This window comes from Homo sapiens, chromosome 10, assembly GCF_000001405.40.
Source record: "Homo sapiens chromosome 10, GRCh38.p14 Primary Assembly".
In the NCBI taxonomy this organism is placed as follows: domain Eukaryota; kingdom Metazoa; phylum Chordata; class Mammalia; order Primates; family Hominidae; genus Homo; species Homo sapiens.
In genome coordinates this window covers 122,305,027-122,325,722 of record NC_000010.11, presented here as the reverse complement: position 1 = coordinate 122,325,722, position 20,696 = coordinate 122,305,027, and the positions used below count along the sequence as shown (strand labels likewise).

At 41.2% G+C, this 20,696-nt stretch overlaps 1 protein-coding gene across 7 annotated transcripts in view, besides 1 other annotated feature; it reads right to left on the bottom strand.

The window, feature by feature from the left end:
* The window catches only part of BTBD16 (BTB domain containing 16), a 66,864-nt gene that overhangs the window by 12,437 nt on the left and 33,731 nt on the right, over positions 1-20,696 (bottom strand). For 5 of the 7 annotated variants that reach the window (NM_001318189.3, XM_011539241.3, XM_011539240.3 and 2 more), the window contains one exon: positions 18,415-18,534. The exons of the other annotated variants lie outside the window; for them this stretch is intronic. In NM_001318189.3, coding sequence (NP_001305118.1) covers positions 18,415-18,534 — 120 coding nt within the window. The remainder of the gene's footprint in view (positions 1-18,414; positions 18,535-20,696) is intronic. 7 annotated transcript variants of the gene reach the window in all.
* Positions 17,715-17,784: an enhancer, noted in NCBI's record as "active region_4142". NCBI's record gives its function as "activates an Ori minimal core promoter by ATAC-STARR-seq in GM12878 lymphoblastoid cells {active_cell/tissue: GM12878}" and the evidence as "EXISTENCE:reporter gene assay evidence [ECO:0000049][PMID:35858748]".

Genomic DNA, 20,696 nt, shown 5'->3' with positions numbered 1-20,696 from the left:
GCCTGGGCAACACAGCGAGACTCCATCTCAAAAAAAAAAAAATCTATCTATCTATATATACAAAACCAGGAAATGGTCCTCTTGGCTCCTAACACTCAAGTGTGGTAAATGAAACAATAATTCCTGCTGCCACCCCCACATCATAACCTACCAAAGGTCACCACATTTTAGAACCCCTGTCACATGCTGTCCTGGGCCTTTTCTTTGAGTCAGGGCTGACCTACCCATCAGTCCTGGTGAGTGTGTGTTGTTACCTCCATGCACGGTGCTTAGGGTGCTTGCCCAAAGTCTACAGGCAGTGAATGGCAGAGGTGGGGCTGAGACTCGGGGCTGACTTCTTCTAACATACATCTGATTTATTGCTTGTCTCTGCTCCTAGATTGCAAGCTCCATGATGACAGGGTTTGTGTCTGCATTGTTTATTGTTGTACTCTTGGTGTCTTTTATAGTGCCTGGCACTTAACTTGCAATATGTTGGGTGAATTAATTGGATGAATGACCTGGTCCCTGCCAACTTTCCAGCCTCATTTCCATCATCCCATCCCTCCATTCACCCACAACTTATCTTCTAGGCCAGTAGGGCCAGCCCTGGTGCACATGCTCACACACACTTGCTGCACATACAGGCCAGTCTATGCCACTATCTCCATGCCCATGTGGTCCTGTCTGCTGTCACCATGACCTATCAGCTTTTCACTGAGACCAAGTTCAATGTCCTTCTGTCTGTCAAGATGGTCCTGACCCTAGCACAAAGGGAAATCCTGTCTAATCATAACCACAGCTGCCCTTTTTAAGAAACTCCTACACCCAGACTCTTGTGCTCCTTCCACTTCTCCATGCTTATTGTTGAAGGTATGTTTTGGTGCTTCTCAATATGCCTGGGAAGCCAAGAAGCAACATGGCGGAAGTGGAAAGTTAGTAAGAACTAAGCATAATATTTAGGGACCTTGAGAACAAGAGAGACTCAGGTTCCAGAGATCCAAGTTAAAGGGGAGCAGAGTCATCACCTCTCAGAGCAAGAGAAGACACAACAAGGCAAGAAGCATGAACGTCAGATAATGAGAAATCCTCTTGACCCAGAATATACCAACCTCCCTGCACAAGGCTTTGTTGAGCTATTCTAAAAGAGAACAATTTAATGGCCCTAATGTCCATGACTCATGGGATATTTCAAAATTAATGTGCTGGTAAAGAGATCAGTGTTGACACACCAGGGTTGCCCAGTTTCATGCTAACTCTGGCTACATCTGCAAATGCCATTCATGAATCACAAGAGGCACATGGCCTCGCCCACCCTGGGGACACAGCATCATAGCACATTGCCCTCAAGAAATCAGTGGGCTCAGGGCACCCATGGTACAGGGCATGGCAGGGAAGCTCTCCTTAAAAGTTTCCCCCTGCGGTCCCTTGGGAATAGTATGTGGGGGGAATGGGTGGGGGAAGGTGCTGTTGGGTTCACCAGTGCACACCCATGCAGCCAGCACATGCTCTTTTTCTCTCCGCAAAGAGGAGCTAAGAGGAGGAATTCATCCAGTGCACAAGTGAGATCAGAGAAGGCTTTCTGGAACCGGCTTTGTCAAGCTCTGTAAAGGCTGGGTCAGATTTGGGTAGGGCACAGGAAAGAAGAGACTCAGCTGGAGAATCAGGGGAATCTAGAAGTTGGGATCATATGGGAATTGGCTTCATTGGCTACATTCAAATTACTTCCCTCTGGTGAGGTGGAAGCTCATTGCCAGAATCTACCCTTCAGTGTCTGAGAGATACCTATTTAGTGATTATAAATCAGCTAAGGATTAGAATTACATGTCTGTTATGATTTGCCCTTGATCCTAAGAGCTAAGAGTGTCAGAAGACCTAGAAGACCAAGGTCAACCCCAGGACCACCATCAATTTGCAAAAGGAGCCTAAGTAACCTCCTCATTATCCCTGGGCCTTAGCTTATTCAACTGCAAAATGAAAGGGTGAGACCAGATGATCTCTAAGGCACTTTCCAGCATCGACCTTCTTTGATTTAGTAAAGTGAGTAATTTACAAACTGACATGAACTGAATGCATTTTGCTGTCCTGTAGCTCCCAAACTGCCACTCATTTCAATTAGTATAATCACAAGAAGAGTTCTACACTATCCTCCTGCAGAAGGGTTTTTGAAGGTGGGAAGACATTTTCTGCTTCTAATAATACTGACCAATTTCACCTGATTGAGGACTGAATTCTCCACCCTTCTAGCAGTCATTCAGATCCAGCCCTGTCCCACATACCATAAAAGGACACATAAGAAGCAACAAGAAGCTACTTGTCAATCTCCTGCTGAGCCTGAGCATACACAAAGCAACTGGAGAGTCATCCCTAGGCCCTGAGAAGACTGTTCCACTTGAAATGTAGCACACACACCGTAATGCCTAAGGCTGGAGGGAGAAAGTTGCAAATCAAGATCAAATCCATACCCAGCAGGACTGAAACCAGCCCATGCTTTGTGCACTTCAAGCTATCACTCTGTAAACATGACACTTGTTTCCATTTAACACTAAACAACTGGCCAGAAAGTCACTATATTCCTTCTTACACTGTGTACCTGACATGCAATTTAGAGTAATTTTCAGAGTTAAAGTGAAATATTTCAGAGGTTAAAACCACCATTAAAGAACATTCAAAGCACCATTCATTCAGTACTTAGTCAACAGCTAGAAGCTGTTCTTTAATGAAAGATTGAGGACTGGGAGGGTAAAGGGAGTAAGACACAGCCCTTGCTGCAAATGGCCAGTGCGGGAGCCATGCTTAGGAACAGATAATCCCAATAATTATTTTATTTACAAGTGAGAAAGCTTACAGAGATGGGCATGCAATACTATGGAGCCCAGAGACTGAGCATCTGAATCAGACTGTGGGGAGAGAGGGTACTCTTGGAGGGTTTCCTTGGGGATAACTGAGCCAAGTGTGGAGGCACAGTGGATCACTCTAGCAAGATGGCTTCTGAAATACACCAAACCCCTGAGCTCCTGATAAACGAGTTGATCTCTCTAAATTCACCATAATTAATCCAAAATAAGATCATCTTCCACAGGTGCCATATTTCTGTATAAATCACCGTGGATTCCAAACTGCAATGGGCTGCTTCTCACATCTTCTTTCATCTCCTTCTCTAGCTAGGTGAACCAGATGAATAATTAATTCTCTTGCTACCATATTTGTTCTTATGGACACTCTTTCCACTCCATCTTCTTGATATCACCAGAGCTCAGACCCTTTGCCCCTCATGGAGAGAGTGGCAACTGTTCCCTAGGCCTCCTCACTTTCTCCACCCACCTGTCTCCTACTAGAATGTCCGATAAAGCCACCCCCACTCCTGACCCAATACACCATACTCATGCATATTATATCAAAACTCGTGGGATGCAGTTAAAGGAAACGTATAGCTCTAAATCAGAAAAGAAGAAAGCCTGGAAATCAGATATCTAAATACCCATTTCAAGAGGTTAGAAAAAGAATATCAATTCTTGAAGAAAGTAGAAGGAAATAACGAAGAGAAAAATTAATGAAATAGAAAACATACAATTGAAAAATATCAACAGGTGTGTCAAGTCAAAAGGTGTTTTTTAAAAAAATGAATAAAATAAACCTCTATCAATGCTGATCGAGGAAAGAAAGAAGAGAAATATACAAATTATCAATATCTGATATGAAAAGAGGGCCATCACAACAAATTCTATAGATACTAAAAACATAATAAACATTTACCAAGTGGATTAAAGACTTAAATGTAAGGCCTAAAACTATAAAAATCCTAGAAGAAACCTAGGAAATATCTTTCTGGATATCAGTCTTTTCAAAAAATTTTGTGATTGTCCTCAAAAGCAATTGCAATAAAAACAAAAATTGACAAGTGGAACCTAATCAAACTTAAGAGCTTCTGCCCAGCAAAAGAAACTATCAACAGAGTAAACACAAAAACTATGCATCCAACAAAGGTATAATACCCCCAAATCTATAAGGAACTTAAACAAATCAACAAGCAAAAAACAACTCCATTAAAAAGTAGAAAAAGTACACGAGCAAATACTTTTCAACAGAAGATATACAAGTGGCCAACAAACATATGCAAAAATGTTTAACATCACTGATCATCGGAAAAATGCAAATCAAAACCACAGTGAGATACCATCTTATATTAGCCAGAATGGCTATTATTAAAAAGTCAAAAAGTAAGAAATGTTGGCAAGGCTGTGGAGAAAAGGGAACACTTACACACTGTTGGTGGGAATGTAAATTAGTTCAGCCACTGTGGAAAGCAGTTTGGAGATTTCTCAAAGAACTGAAAATTGCACTATACCATTTGACCCAACAAGCCCATCACTGGGTATATACCCACAGGAAAATAAATCATTCTACCAAGAAGACACATGCAGGCATATGTTCATCACAGCACTATTCACAATAGCAAAGACATGGAATCAACCTAGGTGTCCATCAGTGGTGGATTGGATAAAGAAAATGTAGTGCATATATACCATGGAATCCCACACAGCCATTAAAAAATATATATATTATGTTCTTTGCAGCAACATGAATGCAGATGGAGACCATTATCCTAAGTGAATTAATGCAGAAACAGAAAACCAAATACCGTATGTTCTCACTTATAAATGGAAGCTAAACATTGGGTACACATGAACATAAAGATGGGAATAATAGAAAGTAGGGACTACTAGAGTGGGGAGGGAGGGAGACAAAGGCTGGAAAACTACCTATTGAGTACTATGCTCAGTACCTGGGTGACAGGGTCCATTGTACCGCACCTGAGCATCATGTAATATATCCATGTAACAGACCTGTACATGTACCCCCTAAATCTGAAATAAAAGTTGAAATTTTTAAAAATAGACATAAAATACAATCATAAAGACTTTTAAAAAATTTTTACCAAGAGAGATCATATTGTGAGCCATAAAACAGGTCTCAATAATTTAAAAGAACTAAAATCATACAAAGCATTTTCTCTGATAACAATGGAATTAAGTTAGAAAACAGTAACAGGAAGATATCTAGAAAATCCTCAAATATTTGCAGAACAAAGAACACAGTTCTAAATAATCCATAGGTCAAAGAAGAACTCAAAGGGAAAATTAGAAAGTATTTTGAACTGAATGAAGTTTAAAACACAACATATCAAAATTTCTGAGATGCAGCTAAAGCAATAATTAGAGGGAAATTTATAGCACTAAACACTTAGAAAAAAAAGTCTTAAACCAATGACTTAAATTTCCACCTGTGAAACTAGGAAAAGAAGGGCAAACTAAACATTTGATAAAATAAAACATCTATTCCTGATAAAATTTATCATCAAACTAGATATAAAAGGAACCTCCTCAACATGATAAAGGGTATCTATAAAAAACCTATAGTTAAAATTTTATTTAATAATGAAAGATTAAATTATTTCCTCCTGTATTCTAGAACAAGGCAAGAAGGTCCACTCTCTCACCACTTCTGATCAACAATGTACTGAATATTGTATTCAGTGTAATAAGGCAAGAACAAAAACAGGCATACAGATAGAAAGGAAGAAATAAAATTGTCTTTTTTTACAGGTGATATGATTGCCTATGTAGATTCCTAAGGAATCTATAAAAAAGTTTCTAGAAGTACAATTGAGTTCTACTAAGGTTGTATAATACAAAGTCAATGTAAAAAAATTAATACTGTATTTCTACATAATAGCAAAGAACAATCAGAAATCAAAGTTAAAATAATACCTCTTACAATAGTGTTAATATGAAAGCCTTAGAGATAAATTTTCTAAACACTGTGCAAAACTACAGGAAACATTTATGAAAGACATTTAAACGGACCTAAATGAATGGAAAGATATACCATATTCATGGATCAGAAGACTCAATCTTGTTAAGATGTAAATTCTTCCCAAATTGGCCTGTACATTGAAGACAATCCTTATCAAAATTCCACGAGATTTTTCTACAAAAACTGTCAAGCTGATTTTAAAATTAATATGAAAGTGCAAAGGAGCTAGAGTAGTCAAAATAACTTTGAAAAAAATGAACAAAGCTAGAGAACTTACATTACCTTATGTCAAGACTTAGTAAAAATGAATTATCTAATCAAGATAATATATTAGTATAAAATAGGAATATGGTTTAAAGGAACAGAATATTGAGTCCCAAAATAAACACACACATATGGTTGATGTTTGACAACGGTGCCAAAAGCAATTCAAGGGAAATAGAATACTCTTTTCAACACATCATACTGAATAATTGGATATCTATATGCAAAACATGAATCTTAACCCTTACCTCACATATATATTTAAAACTTAACTCAAAATTAATCATAAATATAAATGTGAGAGCTAAAACAATAAATCTCCCAGAAGAAAACATAGAGGAAAAATCATAGTCATCTTGCTTTGGCAAGATTATTAAGTAGGACACACAAGGAATGAACTGAAAAGAAGAAAAAAGTCAACACATTGAACATCAAAATAAAAAACTTCTGATATTCAAACTACACTATTTTGAAAATGAAAATATAAGTAATAGATTTGGAGAAAGTATCTACGAAATATGTATCTGACAAAGGACTTGTATCCAGAATATTTAAAGAATACTCACAAGTCAATAATAAAACAACCCGGTTTTAAAAATATGGGCCAAAGGTTTGAACAGACTTTTCACTAAAGAAGATAAATGAAGGACAAATAAGCATATGAAACAATGCTCACCATCCTTAGTCACTGGGGAAATGAAAGTTAAAATCACAATGAGATACCATTACAAATGGATTAAATTGGCAAGAATCAAAAAGGCTGACCAAATGTTAGCAAGGATGTGGAGCAAATGAACGCCTGTAATCCCAGCACTTTGGGAGGCCGAGGCAGGTGGATCACCTGAGGTCAGGAGTTTGAGACCAGCCTGGCCACCATGGCAAAACCCTGTCTCTACTAAATATACAAAAATTAGCCGGGCGTGTTGGCATGTGCCTGTAATCCCAGCTACTCGGGAGGCTGAGGCAGGAGAATCACTTGAACCTGGGAGGCAGAGGTTGCAGTGAGCCAAGATCATGCCACTGCACTCCAGCCTGGGCAACAGAGTGAGACGCTGTCTCAAAAACAAAACAAAAAAAATAGTCCAACCACATTGGAAAACAGTTTGGCAGATTCTTAAAAAGTTAAACATACACCTACTGTTTTACCTAGCCATTCTATTCCCAGGAATTTATTTACTTAAAAGAAATGAAAGTATATTCTCCCATACAGACTTGTACAGGAATATTTATAGTAACTTTATAAAGTTACTAAAAACAACCCAAATGTCTATGAAAAGATGAATAGAAAAACAAATTTTGGTAATCCATGAATGGAATATCACTCAGCAATCAACAAAAAGACCTACTGATACATGCAACAACATGGGTGAATCTCTGAATAATTATGATGCATGAAAGAATCCAGAAAAAAAGGAGTACAGACTCCATGATTTATTTATATAACATTCTATATATACAGTCAGGCACCACTTAACAACGTTTCAGTCTACAACAGACCACATATAAGATAGTGGTCCCAAAGGATTATAATGGAGCTGAAAAGACAGGACTGAAAAAGTCCTATTGTCTAGTGATTCTATAGCACAACACATGTGTTTGTGGTGTGGTTGGTGTAAAAAAAAACCCTACTGTGCGTCTGTTGGATAAAAGTGTAATACATGCAATTACATTCAGTACATAATACTTAATAATGAATAATAAATGACTGTTACTGGCTTATGTACTATTATATACTTTTAATCTTTATTTTATAGTGTTTTCCTTCTACTTATAAAAAAAAAGTTCACAGCCTCAAGCAGGACCTTCAGGAGGTATTCCAGAAGAAGCCATTGTTATCATAGGAGATGGCTTCATGGGTGTCATTGCCCCTGAAGGCCTTCCAGTGGGACAAGATGTGGAGGTGGAAGATAGTGACATTGATGGTCCTGACCCTGTGTGGACCTAGGCTAATACGTGTGTTTGTGGCTTAGTTTTTTTTGTTGTTTTTTTGTTTTTTTTGTTTTTTTGTGTTTTTTTGAGACAGAGTCTCGCTCTGTCACCCAGGCTGGAGTTCAGTGGTGCGATCTCGGCTCACTGCAAGCTCCGCCTCCCAGGTTCACGCCATTCTCCTGCCTCAGCCTCCCAAGTAGCTGGGACTACAGCTGCCCGCCACCATGCCCGGCTAATTTTTTGTATTTTTAGTAGAGACAGGGTTTCACCGTGTTAGCCAGGATGGTCTCGATCTCCTGACCTCATGATCCACCAGCCTCGGCCTCCCAAAGTGTTGGGATTACAGGCATGAGCCACCACACCCGGCCTGTGGCTTAGTTTTTAACAAAAAGGTTTAAAAAGTAAAAAATTAACATAAACTTTTTAGAAACAGGATAAGAGCTTATAGAACAGATTATAAAGAAAATATTTTTGTACACTTGTATAACGTGTTTGTGTTTTAAGCTAAGTGTTATGAAAAAGTCAAGTTTTAAAAATTAAAAAAATTATAAAGTAAATACTTGTAGTAAGCTAAAGTTTATTTGTTATTGAAGAAAGAACATTTGAGTGTAGCCTAAGTACACAGCGTTTATAAAGTCTACAGTAGGCTGGGTGCAGTGACTCACGCCTGTAATCCCAACACTTTGGGAGGCCAAGGCGGGTGGATCACCTGAGGTCGGGAGTTTGAGATCAGCCTGACCAACATGGAGAAACCCCGTCTCTACTAAAATTACAAAAAATTAGCCGGGCGCACTGACACATGCCTGTAATCCCAGCTACTCAGGAGGCTGAGGCAGGAGAATCAGTTGAACCGGAGAGGCGGAGATGCGGTGAACCGAGATTGCGCCGTTGCACTCCAGCCTAGGCAACAAGAGTGAAACTCCGTTTCAAAAAAAAAAAAAAAGTCTACAGTGCTGCCCAGTAACGTCCTAGGCCTTAACATTCACGCACCATTCACTCACTGACTCACCAGAGCAACTTCTAGTCCTGCAAGTTCCATGCATGATAAGTGCCCTGTACAGGTGTATCCTTTTTTTTTATCTTTTACATCATATATGTTTAGATACATGAATACTTACCATTGTGTTACAACTGCCTATGATATTCAGTACAGGAACATGCTGTACAGGTTTGTAGTCCAGGAGGGATACACTGTACCATATAGCCCAGGTGTGTAGTAGGCTATGCCATCTAGGTTTGTGTAAGCACCCCCTATGATGTTTGCACGAGGATGAAACAGCCTAACAATGCATGTCTCAGAACACATCCTAGTTGTTCAGTGACGCATGAGACTGTATAACATTCTAGAAAATGCAAACAAATCTAGAGTGATAGAAGCAGATCTGTGTTTGCCCACCAATGGTGGTGGTGGGGCTGGAGCAAAGAGGACAAGTGGATTTTTGTTTTGTTTTGTTTTGTTTTGTTTTTGAGTTGGAGTCTCGTTCAGTCACCCAGGCTGGAATGCAATAGCACAATCTCGGCTCACTGCAACCTCTGCCTCCCAGGTTCAAGCGATTCTCTTGCCTCAGCCTCCCAAGTAGCTGGAATTACAGACGTGCACCACCATGCCTGGCTAATTTTTGTATTTTTAGTAGAGAAGGGGTTCCACCATGTTGGTCAGGCTGGTCTCAAACTCCCAACCTCAGGTGATCTGCCTGCCTCGGCTTCCCAAGGTGCTGGGATTACAGGCATGAGCCACCGTGCCCGGCCTATGAGTGGACTATTTAGTGTCATAAGGAAACCTTTGTGTGAGATGGATATTTTCATTATTTTTATTGTAATGATCATTTTATGGGTACTTATGTATATTAGAACTCATCAAATTGAAGCATTAGCTATGTGTAGTTTATTGAGTTCCAATTATTCCTCAAAAAAGCTCTAAAAAGATAAAGTTTGTTAATTACTGGTGTCAATAAATTTAAAACAATTTAGATGAAAAGTACACGTTCCTTGAAAAACAGAACATAACTAAAATTGACACAAAAAGACCCATAAAATCTTAATAATACTATATATAAAGAACATTCTATCTATAACTAAAAGTCTTCCAAAATCTCAAGCCCAAATGGCTTCACTGAAAAGTTCTTCCAAATATTTAGGAAGACAGAACAGCAGTCTCTCCCAAACTCTTCTAGAAAATGGAAAAAGAGGGACTGCTTTGAAATGTATTTGATGAAATTAGTATAACCTCAAAATTAATTAAAAGCTGGTAAGGATAAACCAAGAAAGGAAAATTTCAAGCTAATATCTCTCATGAATATATAGGCAAAAATTCTAAACAGTCAGCAAATAGAATTCAGTGACATAAAAGAGGATAATATTGCTTGACCTAGTTGGTTTCATTCCAGGGATACAAAGTTGGTTTACCATTAAAAAATAAATCAACAATTCTCTATCTTGATTGCAGTGCTGGTTATACAGGCATATCTGTTTATCAAAGTCATCAAACTGTATGTTTAAAACGTACTCACTTTGCTGTAATTAAATCCCACCTCAAAGTTTATTGCTTTGAAAAATTAATATATTTTACCACATTCATAGCAAAAAGGAGAAAACTATATATCATTTTGAGAAAATCTGAGAACCATTTAGTAAAGTTGGTAAGATTCACTCGTGATTAAAAACTCTAGAAATAGAAGGGGATTTTCAAAATTTGATAAAGAGTATCTACACCAAACCCACAGCAAACATCATACACAGATTGGGGAATTACTGAAAGCTTTTTCCTTGAGACTGGGAAGAAAAAAAAGATGTTCATTATCAGATGACGTTCATGTCATTATCAAAAGATGTTCATGTCTACTCAACATGATACTGGAGAGTCTACCTAGTGCAATAAGGGAAGAAAAATAAGTGAAAGACACAAGATTTGGAGAGAAAGAGATAAATCTAGTATTATTCTTAAAAATCACATAATTATATGTAGAAAACATACAAGAGAATGTACAGTCTATTAAAATAAGAAAATCTATCAATATATGAACACAAAGTCAATATACAAAACTATTGTACTTCTATATATCAGCACCAAACAATTAGAATATAAAAATGTTTAAATGATACTATTTACAATAGAGTCAGCAAACATTATACACTTAGGAATAAATACAACGGAAGATGAGCAAGACCTCCATACAATAAACTATTAAATTTTATTGAGAGAAATTTTATTTTTATTTTTAATTTTTTTTGAGACAGGGTCTCACTTTGCCATCTAGGCTGGAGTGCATCGGCACAATCACAGCTTACTGCAGCCTCAACCTCCCAGGCTCAAGTGATCCTCCTGCCTCAGCCTCTCAAGTAGTTGGGACTACAGGAGTGTGCCACCATGCCCAGCTAATTTTTTACATTTTTTTTGTGAACAGGTCCCACTATGTTGCCCAGGCTGGTCTCTAACTCCTGGCCTCAGGCCTCCCCAAAGTGCTGAAATTACTGGTGTGAGCCACTGAGCCTGGTCAAGAAATTTTAAAAGACAAATAAATGGAGATTTATACCATTTTCATGGATTACAAATCTCAGTATTCTAAAGAGGTCAATTTTCCCCAAATTGATCTACATATTCAATGTCTTCCCAGTCAAAATCTCAGCATTTTCTTCTCTTGTCTTTTTTGGTGGAATTTGACAATCTGATTATAAAGTAAATATGTGAAAATCCAAAGGACCAAGAATGACCAAAGTAATCTTGGAGAAGAACAAAATTGGGGGATGTCTTATTCCATCTCAAGATTTATAATGAAACAGTAATTAAGAAAGTGTGGTATTGGTTCAAGGATAGACAAGACTAATGGCACAGAATAGAGATACTAAAAATGATGTATATGTCATACATATAGTCGTATGACACTAACATTTAACACATAGCATGTAAAATACGTTATGACAAAGGTGACAGACACTGCAGAGCAGTGAGCAAAGCATGGCCTTTCCAGTAAACGGTGCTGGATCAATTGTGCATCCTTATGAAAAGAAGGACCGTGACCATGGTCCCTCCCTCACACCATACTTAAAAAAATACTTCTGGATGGACTCTAGATCTAAATGCAAGGTAAAACAATAGAGCTTCTAGAAGAAAATAGGAGAATATCCACATGGCACTGGAATAGGCAAAGATTCTTAAATAGCACTAACTATAGGCCAGGCCCAGTGGCTCATGCCTGTAATCCCAGCACTTTGGGAGGCCGAGGCGGGCGGATCACAAGGTCAGGAGTTCGAGACCAGCCTGACCAACATGGTGAAACCCCATCTCTACTAAAAATACAAAAAGTAGCGAGGTGTGGTGGCACGTGCCTGTAATCCCAGCTACTCAGGAGGCTGAGGGAGCAGAATCGTTTGAACCCGGGAGGCAGAGATGGCAGTGAACTGAGATCGCACCATTACACTCTAGCTTGGGTGACACAGTGAGACTCCATCTCAAAAAAAAAAACAAAAAAAAAAAAACAGCACTAACTATAAAAGAAAGGCTTGATAGATTATAATGCCTTAAAATTTAAAATTTTGTTCATCAAACGAGCATTATGAGGCCAGGCACAGTGGCTCACGCCTGTAATCCCAGCACTTTGGGAGGCTGATTCAGGCAGATCACCTGGATCAGGAGTTCGAGACCAGCCTGGCCAACATGGTGAAACCCCGTCTCTACTAAAAATACAAAAAATTAGCCAGGCGTGGTAGCACATGCCTGTAATCCCAGCTACTCAGGAGGCTGAGGCAAGAGAATCGTTTGAACCTGAGAGGCAGAGTTTGCAGTGAGCTGAGATCACACCACTGCACTCCAGCCTGGGCAACAGAGTGAGACTCTCTCAACAACAACAACAAAAGACCATTCTGAAAGTGAGAAAGCCAGCCACAGAGGGAAGGTATTTGGAATTCATATATCCAACAAGGACGTGGACCAGAACGTAGCAGAACATAGAAAAGAACAAAGAAAAGATGGGGAAAGGACTTGTGCAGGCACCTCACTAAAAAGATACCCAATGGCTAACAAATATATAAAGAAATGCTCAACCTCATTAGCAGGGGAATGTAAATTAAAAGGGAATAGGCAAATTAGTTCCACTCTCCATCCATTAGAAAAGTGAAAGACTGGCCAGAAGCGGTGGCTCACACCTATAATCCCAGCACTTTGGGAGACCAAGGCGGGTGGATCACTTAAGGTTGGGAGTTCAAGACCAGCCTGGCCAACATAGTGAAACCCCCGTCTTTACTAAAAATACAAAAATTAGCTGGGTGTGGTGGCGTATGCCTATAGTCCCAGCTACTCAGGAGGCTGAGGCAGGAGAATCACTTGAACCCGGGAGGTGGAGGTTGCAGTGAGCTGAGACTATGCCACCGCACTCCAGCCTGGGAGACAGAGCGAGACTGTCTCAAAAAAAAAAAAAAAAAAAAAAAGAAAAAGAAAAAGAAAAGTGAAAGACTGAAGATACCTAGTGTTGGCAAGGATATGGAAAAACCAGAATTCTCATGCACTGCTGGTTAGGGAATAAATTAGCACAGCCACTTTGCAAAACTGTTTGGCAGTATTTACTAAAGTTGAACTCATCCATACCCTATGACATAGTAATTCTATTCCTAGGTTTTTACCCAATAGAAGCACATAATTATGTGTACCACAAGACATGTACATGGTTGTATATAGCAATACTATTCCTAGTGGCTGAACATGTCCACCAACATCTGAATAAATTGTGGTATAATCATATAATGAAATATCCTATGAGAATGAACAAGCTATTGCTACATGCAGCCACGTGGATGGATTTTACAGATACATTATTGTGTGAAAGAAGCCAGACATTTAAAGGTGTATGCTACAGAATTCTATTTATACAAAGCTCAAGAAAAGGGAAGATGTATTGGTAGTAAAAGAGGTCAGGATACTGTTTACTTTTGGTGGAAGAAGTAGGTACTGAGATAAGGGGCTTTAGAGACTGGCCATGTCCCCTGTTCTGGTCTGGGTGCTGGTTACACAGGTGTGCTCACTTTGTGGAAATTCATTGAGCTCTTCATTTAAGGTTCATGCACCTTTCTGTATTTTATGCCTTGATTTTAAAATGTTCTTTTAAAAAGTTGAAAATTTGCCTGCTTCTGCCCTTTCTCCGATTACAAGTTTTTACAGCTTTCCTGAACTTCTCAGACTACCAAGTGGAATGAAATGATGACTTTTCCTTCATAGATGAAGGCAACAGCTTTGCTTACATTTTTTGTTTTTCCTACAAGGAGATGTTAAATTTAATTCGGGACAGCCTATTTGTTTTTCTCAACTAGCTATTGCCAGAAAAACAGGCTGTAGAGTGTAGAGTGGTGTGTGTATGTGTGTTTATGCTTTAGATGTGTGTAGTTGTGTATGCATTTATGTGCACACAGGTGTGTGTTTGTATGTGTTTGCAAGCCACACACGACCGTGCGTGTTTGTTTCCTTCTTACATTGATGTTCTTGGATAGCAACAAAAATAAACTTGAAGTTGTTTCTAAACATCTGGCTAGGCAAAGAAACTGCCCCTTCAACATTATGTCAGTGTCTGAGGCACAAAGCACATGTTCAAAAAATATTTGTTGAATGAAAGATTGAAAAAAAAATTAATGAACAAAAGAAAATGGGAGAGTAGAAATGGCTTGGACGTATGTCTTTATTTTTGGGTATAGTCGTTGCTGGAGAAGTCAGTTATTCAACTACGTTCCCTCCTAGCCTGTCTTCCGGACACTGCTGAGACAGATGAGGAAAGGGGCGTCTGACTCATTTTACTCAGTTAATGGCTCTCGACCCTCCTTTCCGGATTCTGGGCCAGCCAAGGCCATGCCCGCAGTTGCTGCTCAGCTTCTTTCCTGGTAGGGTCAAGGTCCGGGTGAGCTAATATTTGTTCAGCTTGTCCCACTACTGACATGTTAGGGAAGTGCAGTTCCAACTTGTCAGTTCCCATAATGTGACGGCCTCAACATGTCCCCCTCCCCGGGAAGTAGATTGCTCTGTCATTGAAGTTATTTTATCAATATTTGCAATTTTTAAAATTGGGCCAAATTGCTCCCTCTCTTCTCATTTCCGAGCCTGTTTACTGTCTCCCCTGGGGTCTGCTCCTCTGTCTCACTTTGAAATGCTCCTGGCACATCCCTGTCAGCGACCACTGGAGCTTCCTTGATTAGCTGCTCCCTTTGCCCCTTTGAACTTTGTAGCTCAACTCCCCTGGTGACGCAATGCTGGCCCAGGCTGTCCGTGACTCCCTGCAGTCTCCCTCCACCTCCACAGGGAGCAGAGGTACCTCGGGGCAGCTGGAGCCCTCCGGCCACCAGCCCTGCTAGGCCAGCAGCTACAAAGCCTCCGCACTGTTGCTGGTCAGCCCTGGGGATCCTCGGCAGGGGATGGCAAACATGGACCCAGGGCGCCACCAAGCCTGGCTCCTGCAGCCAGGATAGACACCGCTAATCTACTGCGACATTCTTCTTCTCAGAGCCTACAGAAAAGCTGAGAATCCTTCTTGGGCTGGTGCACTCAACGGGCACCACCCATCAATAGAAACGGAAATGTGTCTGCTATCTCAATGTTGTCAAGTTGCCACATGCATGACATTCTCTGAATTTTCCATCAGCATTTAAGACCCACTTCTGTGAGAAGAACTGAGCTACATAAAAATGGACCCAGCACGGTGGCTCACGCCTGCAATCCCAGTGCTTTGGGAGGCCGAGGTGGGAGGATCACTTGAGGGCAGGAGTTTGAGACCAGCCTGGCCAGCATGATGAAACCCCACCCCTACTAAAAATACAAAAATTAGCTGGGCGTGGTGGCACGTGCCTGTAGTCCCAGCTACTTGGGAGGCTGAGGCACTAGAATTGCTTGAACCCAGGAGGCAGAGGTTGCAGCAAGCCGAGATCGTGCCATTGCACTCCAGCCTGGGCAACAAGTGAGACACTGCCTCAAAAAAAAAAAAAAAATGTACTCAGCACAGTGGCTCATGCTTGTAATCCCAGTGCTTTGGGAGGCCAAGTGGGAGGATCACTTGAGACCAGGAGTTTGAGATCAGCCTGGGCAACAGAGTGGCCCTGTTTCTACAAATAATAATTTTAGGCTGGGCGCAGTGGCTCACGCCTGTAATGCCAGCACTTTGGGAGGCCGAGGCGGGTGGATCGCGAGGTCAAGAGATCGAGACCATTCTGGCCAACATGTTGAAACCCCATCTCTATTAAAAGTACAAAAATTAGCTGGGTGTGGTGGCGCTTGCCTGTAGTCCCAGCTACTCAGGAGGCTGAGGCAGGAGAATTGCTTGAACCTGGGAGGCGGAGGTTGAAGTGAGCTGAGATGGCGCTACTGCACTCCAGCCTGGCGACAGAGCGAGACTCTTTCTCAAAAAAAAAAACAAAAACAAAAACCAAAAAACAAACAAACAAAAAATAATAATAGTAATAATTTTAAAAATTAGCCAGATGTGGCTACATGCTCTTGTAGTCCCACCTACTCAGGAGGCTGAGGCGAGAGGATCACTTGAACCTAGGAGTTTGAGGCTGCAGTGAGCTATGATCACGCCACTGTACTCCAACCTGGATGACAGAGCAAGACCCTGTCTCAAAAAAAGAGAAAAAAAAGTCTGACAGAGACTCACAGTCCAGCAAGGTGCCAGGCAAGTTGGGGCAAGAGAAAGGATCATAAGCCCTTTGTTGAAGCTGCTTATGATGTCCCTGGGAGGGGCAGGACATATACATGAACTGAGGGGTTCAGCAGGGGCTGGGCAGAGCAGCTCTGGTGGGTGGCCCCCATCACGGATGGACAGAGAGGAGGCAGAGCAGGCAGGGACTGGGGGAAGCAGGAGCACCCAGAGCAGACCCCCAGGTGAAGGAGCCCGGGGCTCAGGAGATGCATTTGGGAGATGGAGGCCAATGACAAAGACACAACTGCGAGGTGCTACCACCCTGGAGCAGCTGAGCTGGGCAGGAGAAGAACCATCCACAGTGCTAAAAGTGGGCCACAAGGTCCTCCATGATGACAGAGTGGGCCTGGACAGTGTGCAGGGGAGAGCATCCAAGCCCTACACTTTCCCATCTTTTCTCCCAGTCTGACCCAAAGCTCGCTGGAGAAAGGAGAGGGCCAAGCAGGGAAGGAGGGAGGTTGGGGAAGGGACACAGCAGGCTCTGGCTGTCTGGAGCCACCCCCACTCTACATTGAGAGGACTCTGGCCCCTGTTGAAAGATTTGTCATCACTGCTTAGGTCGGGGCAATGACATGACTTGGAAAGAAGCAAATGGTTTCCAACGAAGAAAATTATACAGGATCAGGGGGCTTGGGGAAATGCATGGCGATGTGAGGTCTGGGACAAATCAACGTAGATTCGAAAAGAAAATGGAAAAGCTGTGGTGGTGAGAAACACCCCTGTGCCTGCCACTCCAGGGAAGAGCTGTGGCGTCTCTGGCTCAGGAGTGCAAGCAAAGGCCTTGGAAACAGCAACTTTGGCAGGGGGCCCACACCTTAACTCCCTTCTCCTCACTTGCTTCTTCCATATTAAAAACACAGCTCTAATGAATCACCACATTCTAGCTCTTTTTCCTATCTCCCAGTGCTAAGACGTTTCCAGTAGGAGAGCTGACCTGGAGCCAAACAGCAATTCCTCCTGGTGTGCATGACTCATTGGAAAAAGTGTCTCATAGGCTATTAAAAGAGTGGGGGAGGGCGGGTAAAACATTTGGGTTCAAAGCAAATTATATGGAAACTAAACACAGTACATATAATTCCGACACTGAATGCTGCTTTCCTCAAATAACAAGACAGAGAAAGAAGTGGGCTCTTTACTTAACGCAGCGCACAGATGTTCTGTTCCAGAAATGAATTACGTGCTTCAAAACAATGCAAATGAAACTTGGCTTAAACAGGTCACTACGTGAAGACGTGTTTATCTGCTAAACTCACACATGCAAAAGAAATGAAGCATCTTTACTTCCACTTCCTTAAACTCGCCTCGTCATGCTTGGAAGCCCTCATTCCTGAGGCTGTGGGGACCAGAAACACAAACCTAACAAGGTAATACCACCAGTTACTTCCACAGAAAAAGTGAGTTTTATTCAACCTAAGAAAGCTGATTTTTTTTTTTAATGAAGTTTTAAAGGCCAGGGTAGTGTGGTCATTTTCCTGAAGAGAGGAGTACCTTTTGCCTCATGCCTGTTACTGGACACAGCAAGTTCCCAGAAGCACCTGATTATCTCATAGTACAACACCTACATGTTGTTTACTTTTCCAGGTAATTTGGTGGTTTGAAAGCATCCTATAATCTTAGGCCCTATTAAAAAAACAGTGCCCTCTGAATGATGCTATGAAAAATTATATCACTGATGGTTTTCCCCCGTGATATTATGAGCAGTGTTTGTACATTTCAGTATTTGTGTATTTCATCAATCAACACTAAGTTATATTACCTCTTAAAAAATGTCATCACGGTTTCATAAGTCGGAATTGCCTGAATCTTGTAGTTCAGTTGCAAGAAGACCCACAAAAGCATTGTTTTCAGAAGATGGAATTCACTAAAGGTAAATAACCTGGCCAAAATAAAAAGATTGAGAAGAAATTTCAGAAATAGCACAAAATCACGCTGCTTGTAAGAAGCTGGTTAGAATGAGTTTGGGAATGAGGTGACACCACATTTGAGTCTGAAGGTAGCCTCAGACATCAAGCAGGTAAACAGCTTACTCAAGGCCACTCAACTGGGAAATGGCAGAGCTAGGATTTGAATCTCAGCAGCCTGACACTAGGGCCTGTGTTTTCACCCACCCTCTGTGCCCCGCAAAACAATGATCGTCATTTAATGAGCTCTTACTATGTGCCAGGTGTTCCCAAGATGTTTTCTGTAGATTTTTTCATTTAATTCCACACAACCATCCTGCAAAGTTAGGATATAGTCCTTACTTTTATAGATGTAGAAATTGAGATTAACCCTACATTTATTTAAAATTTTAGTGTTTTGTTCATCATGGCATTTTTTGGCATCAATTTTAATTCTAATATATTACACTAAAATAGACTGCATCTCGATGACTAAGTTTTTTCATGCTCCCTTAAATTTCGCACCAAGGTGCCTCACTCACTTCACCTTAGCTCTGGCCATGATTGAGGGCTGAAACCTGAATAACTTATCCAAGGTCACACAATTCTGGGCTCAGACCTGGGTATAGGGCAGGTTAGAATCTCAGTTCCTCACCAGACTGGCTGTGGAACCTCCTGTGAGTTGCTTAACTGCCCCGCAGCTGCAATGTCCTCATCTGTGAAAGTGTGATCACAGCAGCTGCTCAGAGGAGAGTGGTACAGAGTGGATGAGGTGAGTGGATGAGTTTCCTATCGCTCCAATAACAAATTGTCACAAACCAAGTGGTTCGAAACAACACGAATTTATTTTCTCATCATTCTGGAGGTCAGAAGTACCAAACAAGGTAAGATCAAGTTGTCAGCAGAGCTGTGTTCCTTCTAGAGGCTCAAGGGAGAATTGTTTCCTTGCCTTTTCCAGCACCTAGAAGCCACCCACATTCCTTTGCTTATGGCCCTTTTCTCAGTCTTCAAGTCAGCAGTTCAGCATCTTCAAATCTCTCTATGGTTCTGACTCTTTGGCTTCCCTCTTCACATTTACAAGGTCCTTGTGATCACCATGGGCCCACCCAGGTCATCTAGAATAAGCTCCTCATTTTAAAGCCCGCGGACACTATTCACAATAGCAAAGACATGGAATCAACCTAGGTGCCCATCAGTGGTGGACTGGGTAAAGAAACCATGGTACATATACACCATAAAATACTATACAGCCATGAAAAAGAGTGAAGGCATGTCATTTGCAGCAACATGGGTAGAGCTGGAGGCCATTATCCTAAGCAAATTGACACAGGAATAGAAAACTAAATACTGCATGTTCTCACTTGTCAGTGGGAGCTTAAACATTGAGTACACATGGACACCATTAAGGGAACAATAGACACAGGGCCTACCTGATGGTGGTGGGTAGGAAGAGGGCGAGGATTGAAAAACTATGTATAGGGTTGTACTGTTCTGTTGTTGAATTGCTACAAAGAAATATCTGAGACTGGGTAATTTGTAAAGAAAAGAGGTTTACTTGACTCACAGTTCCATGGGCTGTACAGGAAGCATGATGCTGGCATCTGCTTGGCTTCTGGAGAGGCCTCAGGAAACTTACCATCTTGGCAGAAGGTAAAGGGGGAGGAGGATGTCACACAGCCAGAGCAAGAGCAGGAGAGAGCAAGGCAGGAGGTGCCACACCCTTTGAAATGACCAGATCTCAAGGGAACTCACTCACTATCAGGAGAACAGCACCAAGAGGATGGTGCTAAGCCATTAGTGAGAAATCCACCACCATGATCCAATCACCTCTCACCAGGTCCCATCTCCAACACTGGGGATTACAATTCAATGTGAGATTTGGTGGGGACACACATCTAAACTATATCAAGGATATTATACTGATCACCTGGGTGACAAAATTATCTGTACACCAAATCCCTGTGACATGCAATTTACTCATGTACAACCTGCACATGTACCCCTGAACCTAAAATGAAAGTTGGAAAGAAAGAAAAGAATCAGCTGATTACTGACCTTAGTTCCATCTGCAGCCTTAGTTTCCTTTGCCATACAACCCAACATATTCACAGGTTCCAGCCAGTGAGATGTGGACATCTGTGGGGCCATCATTCTACTG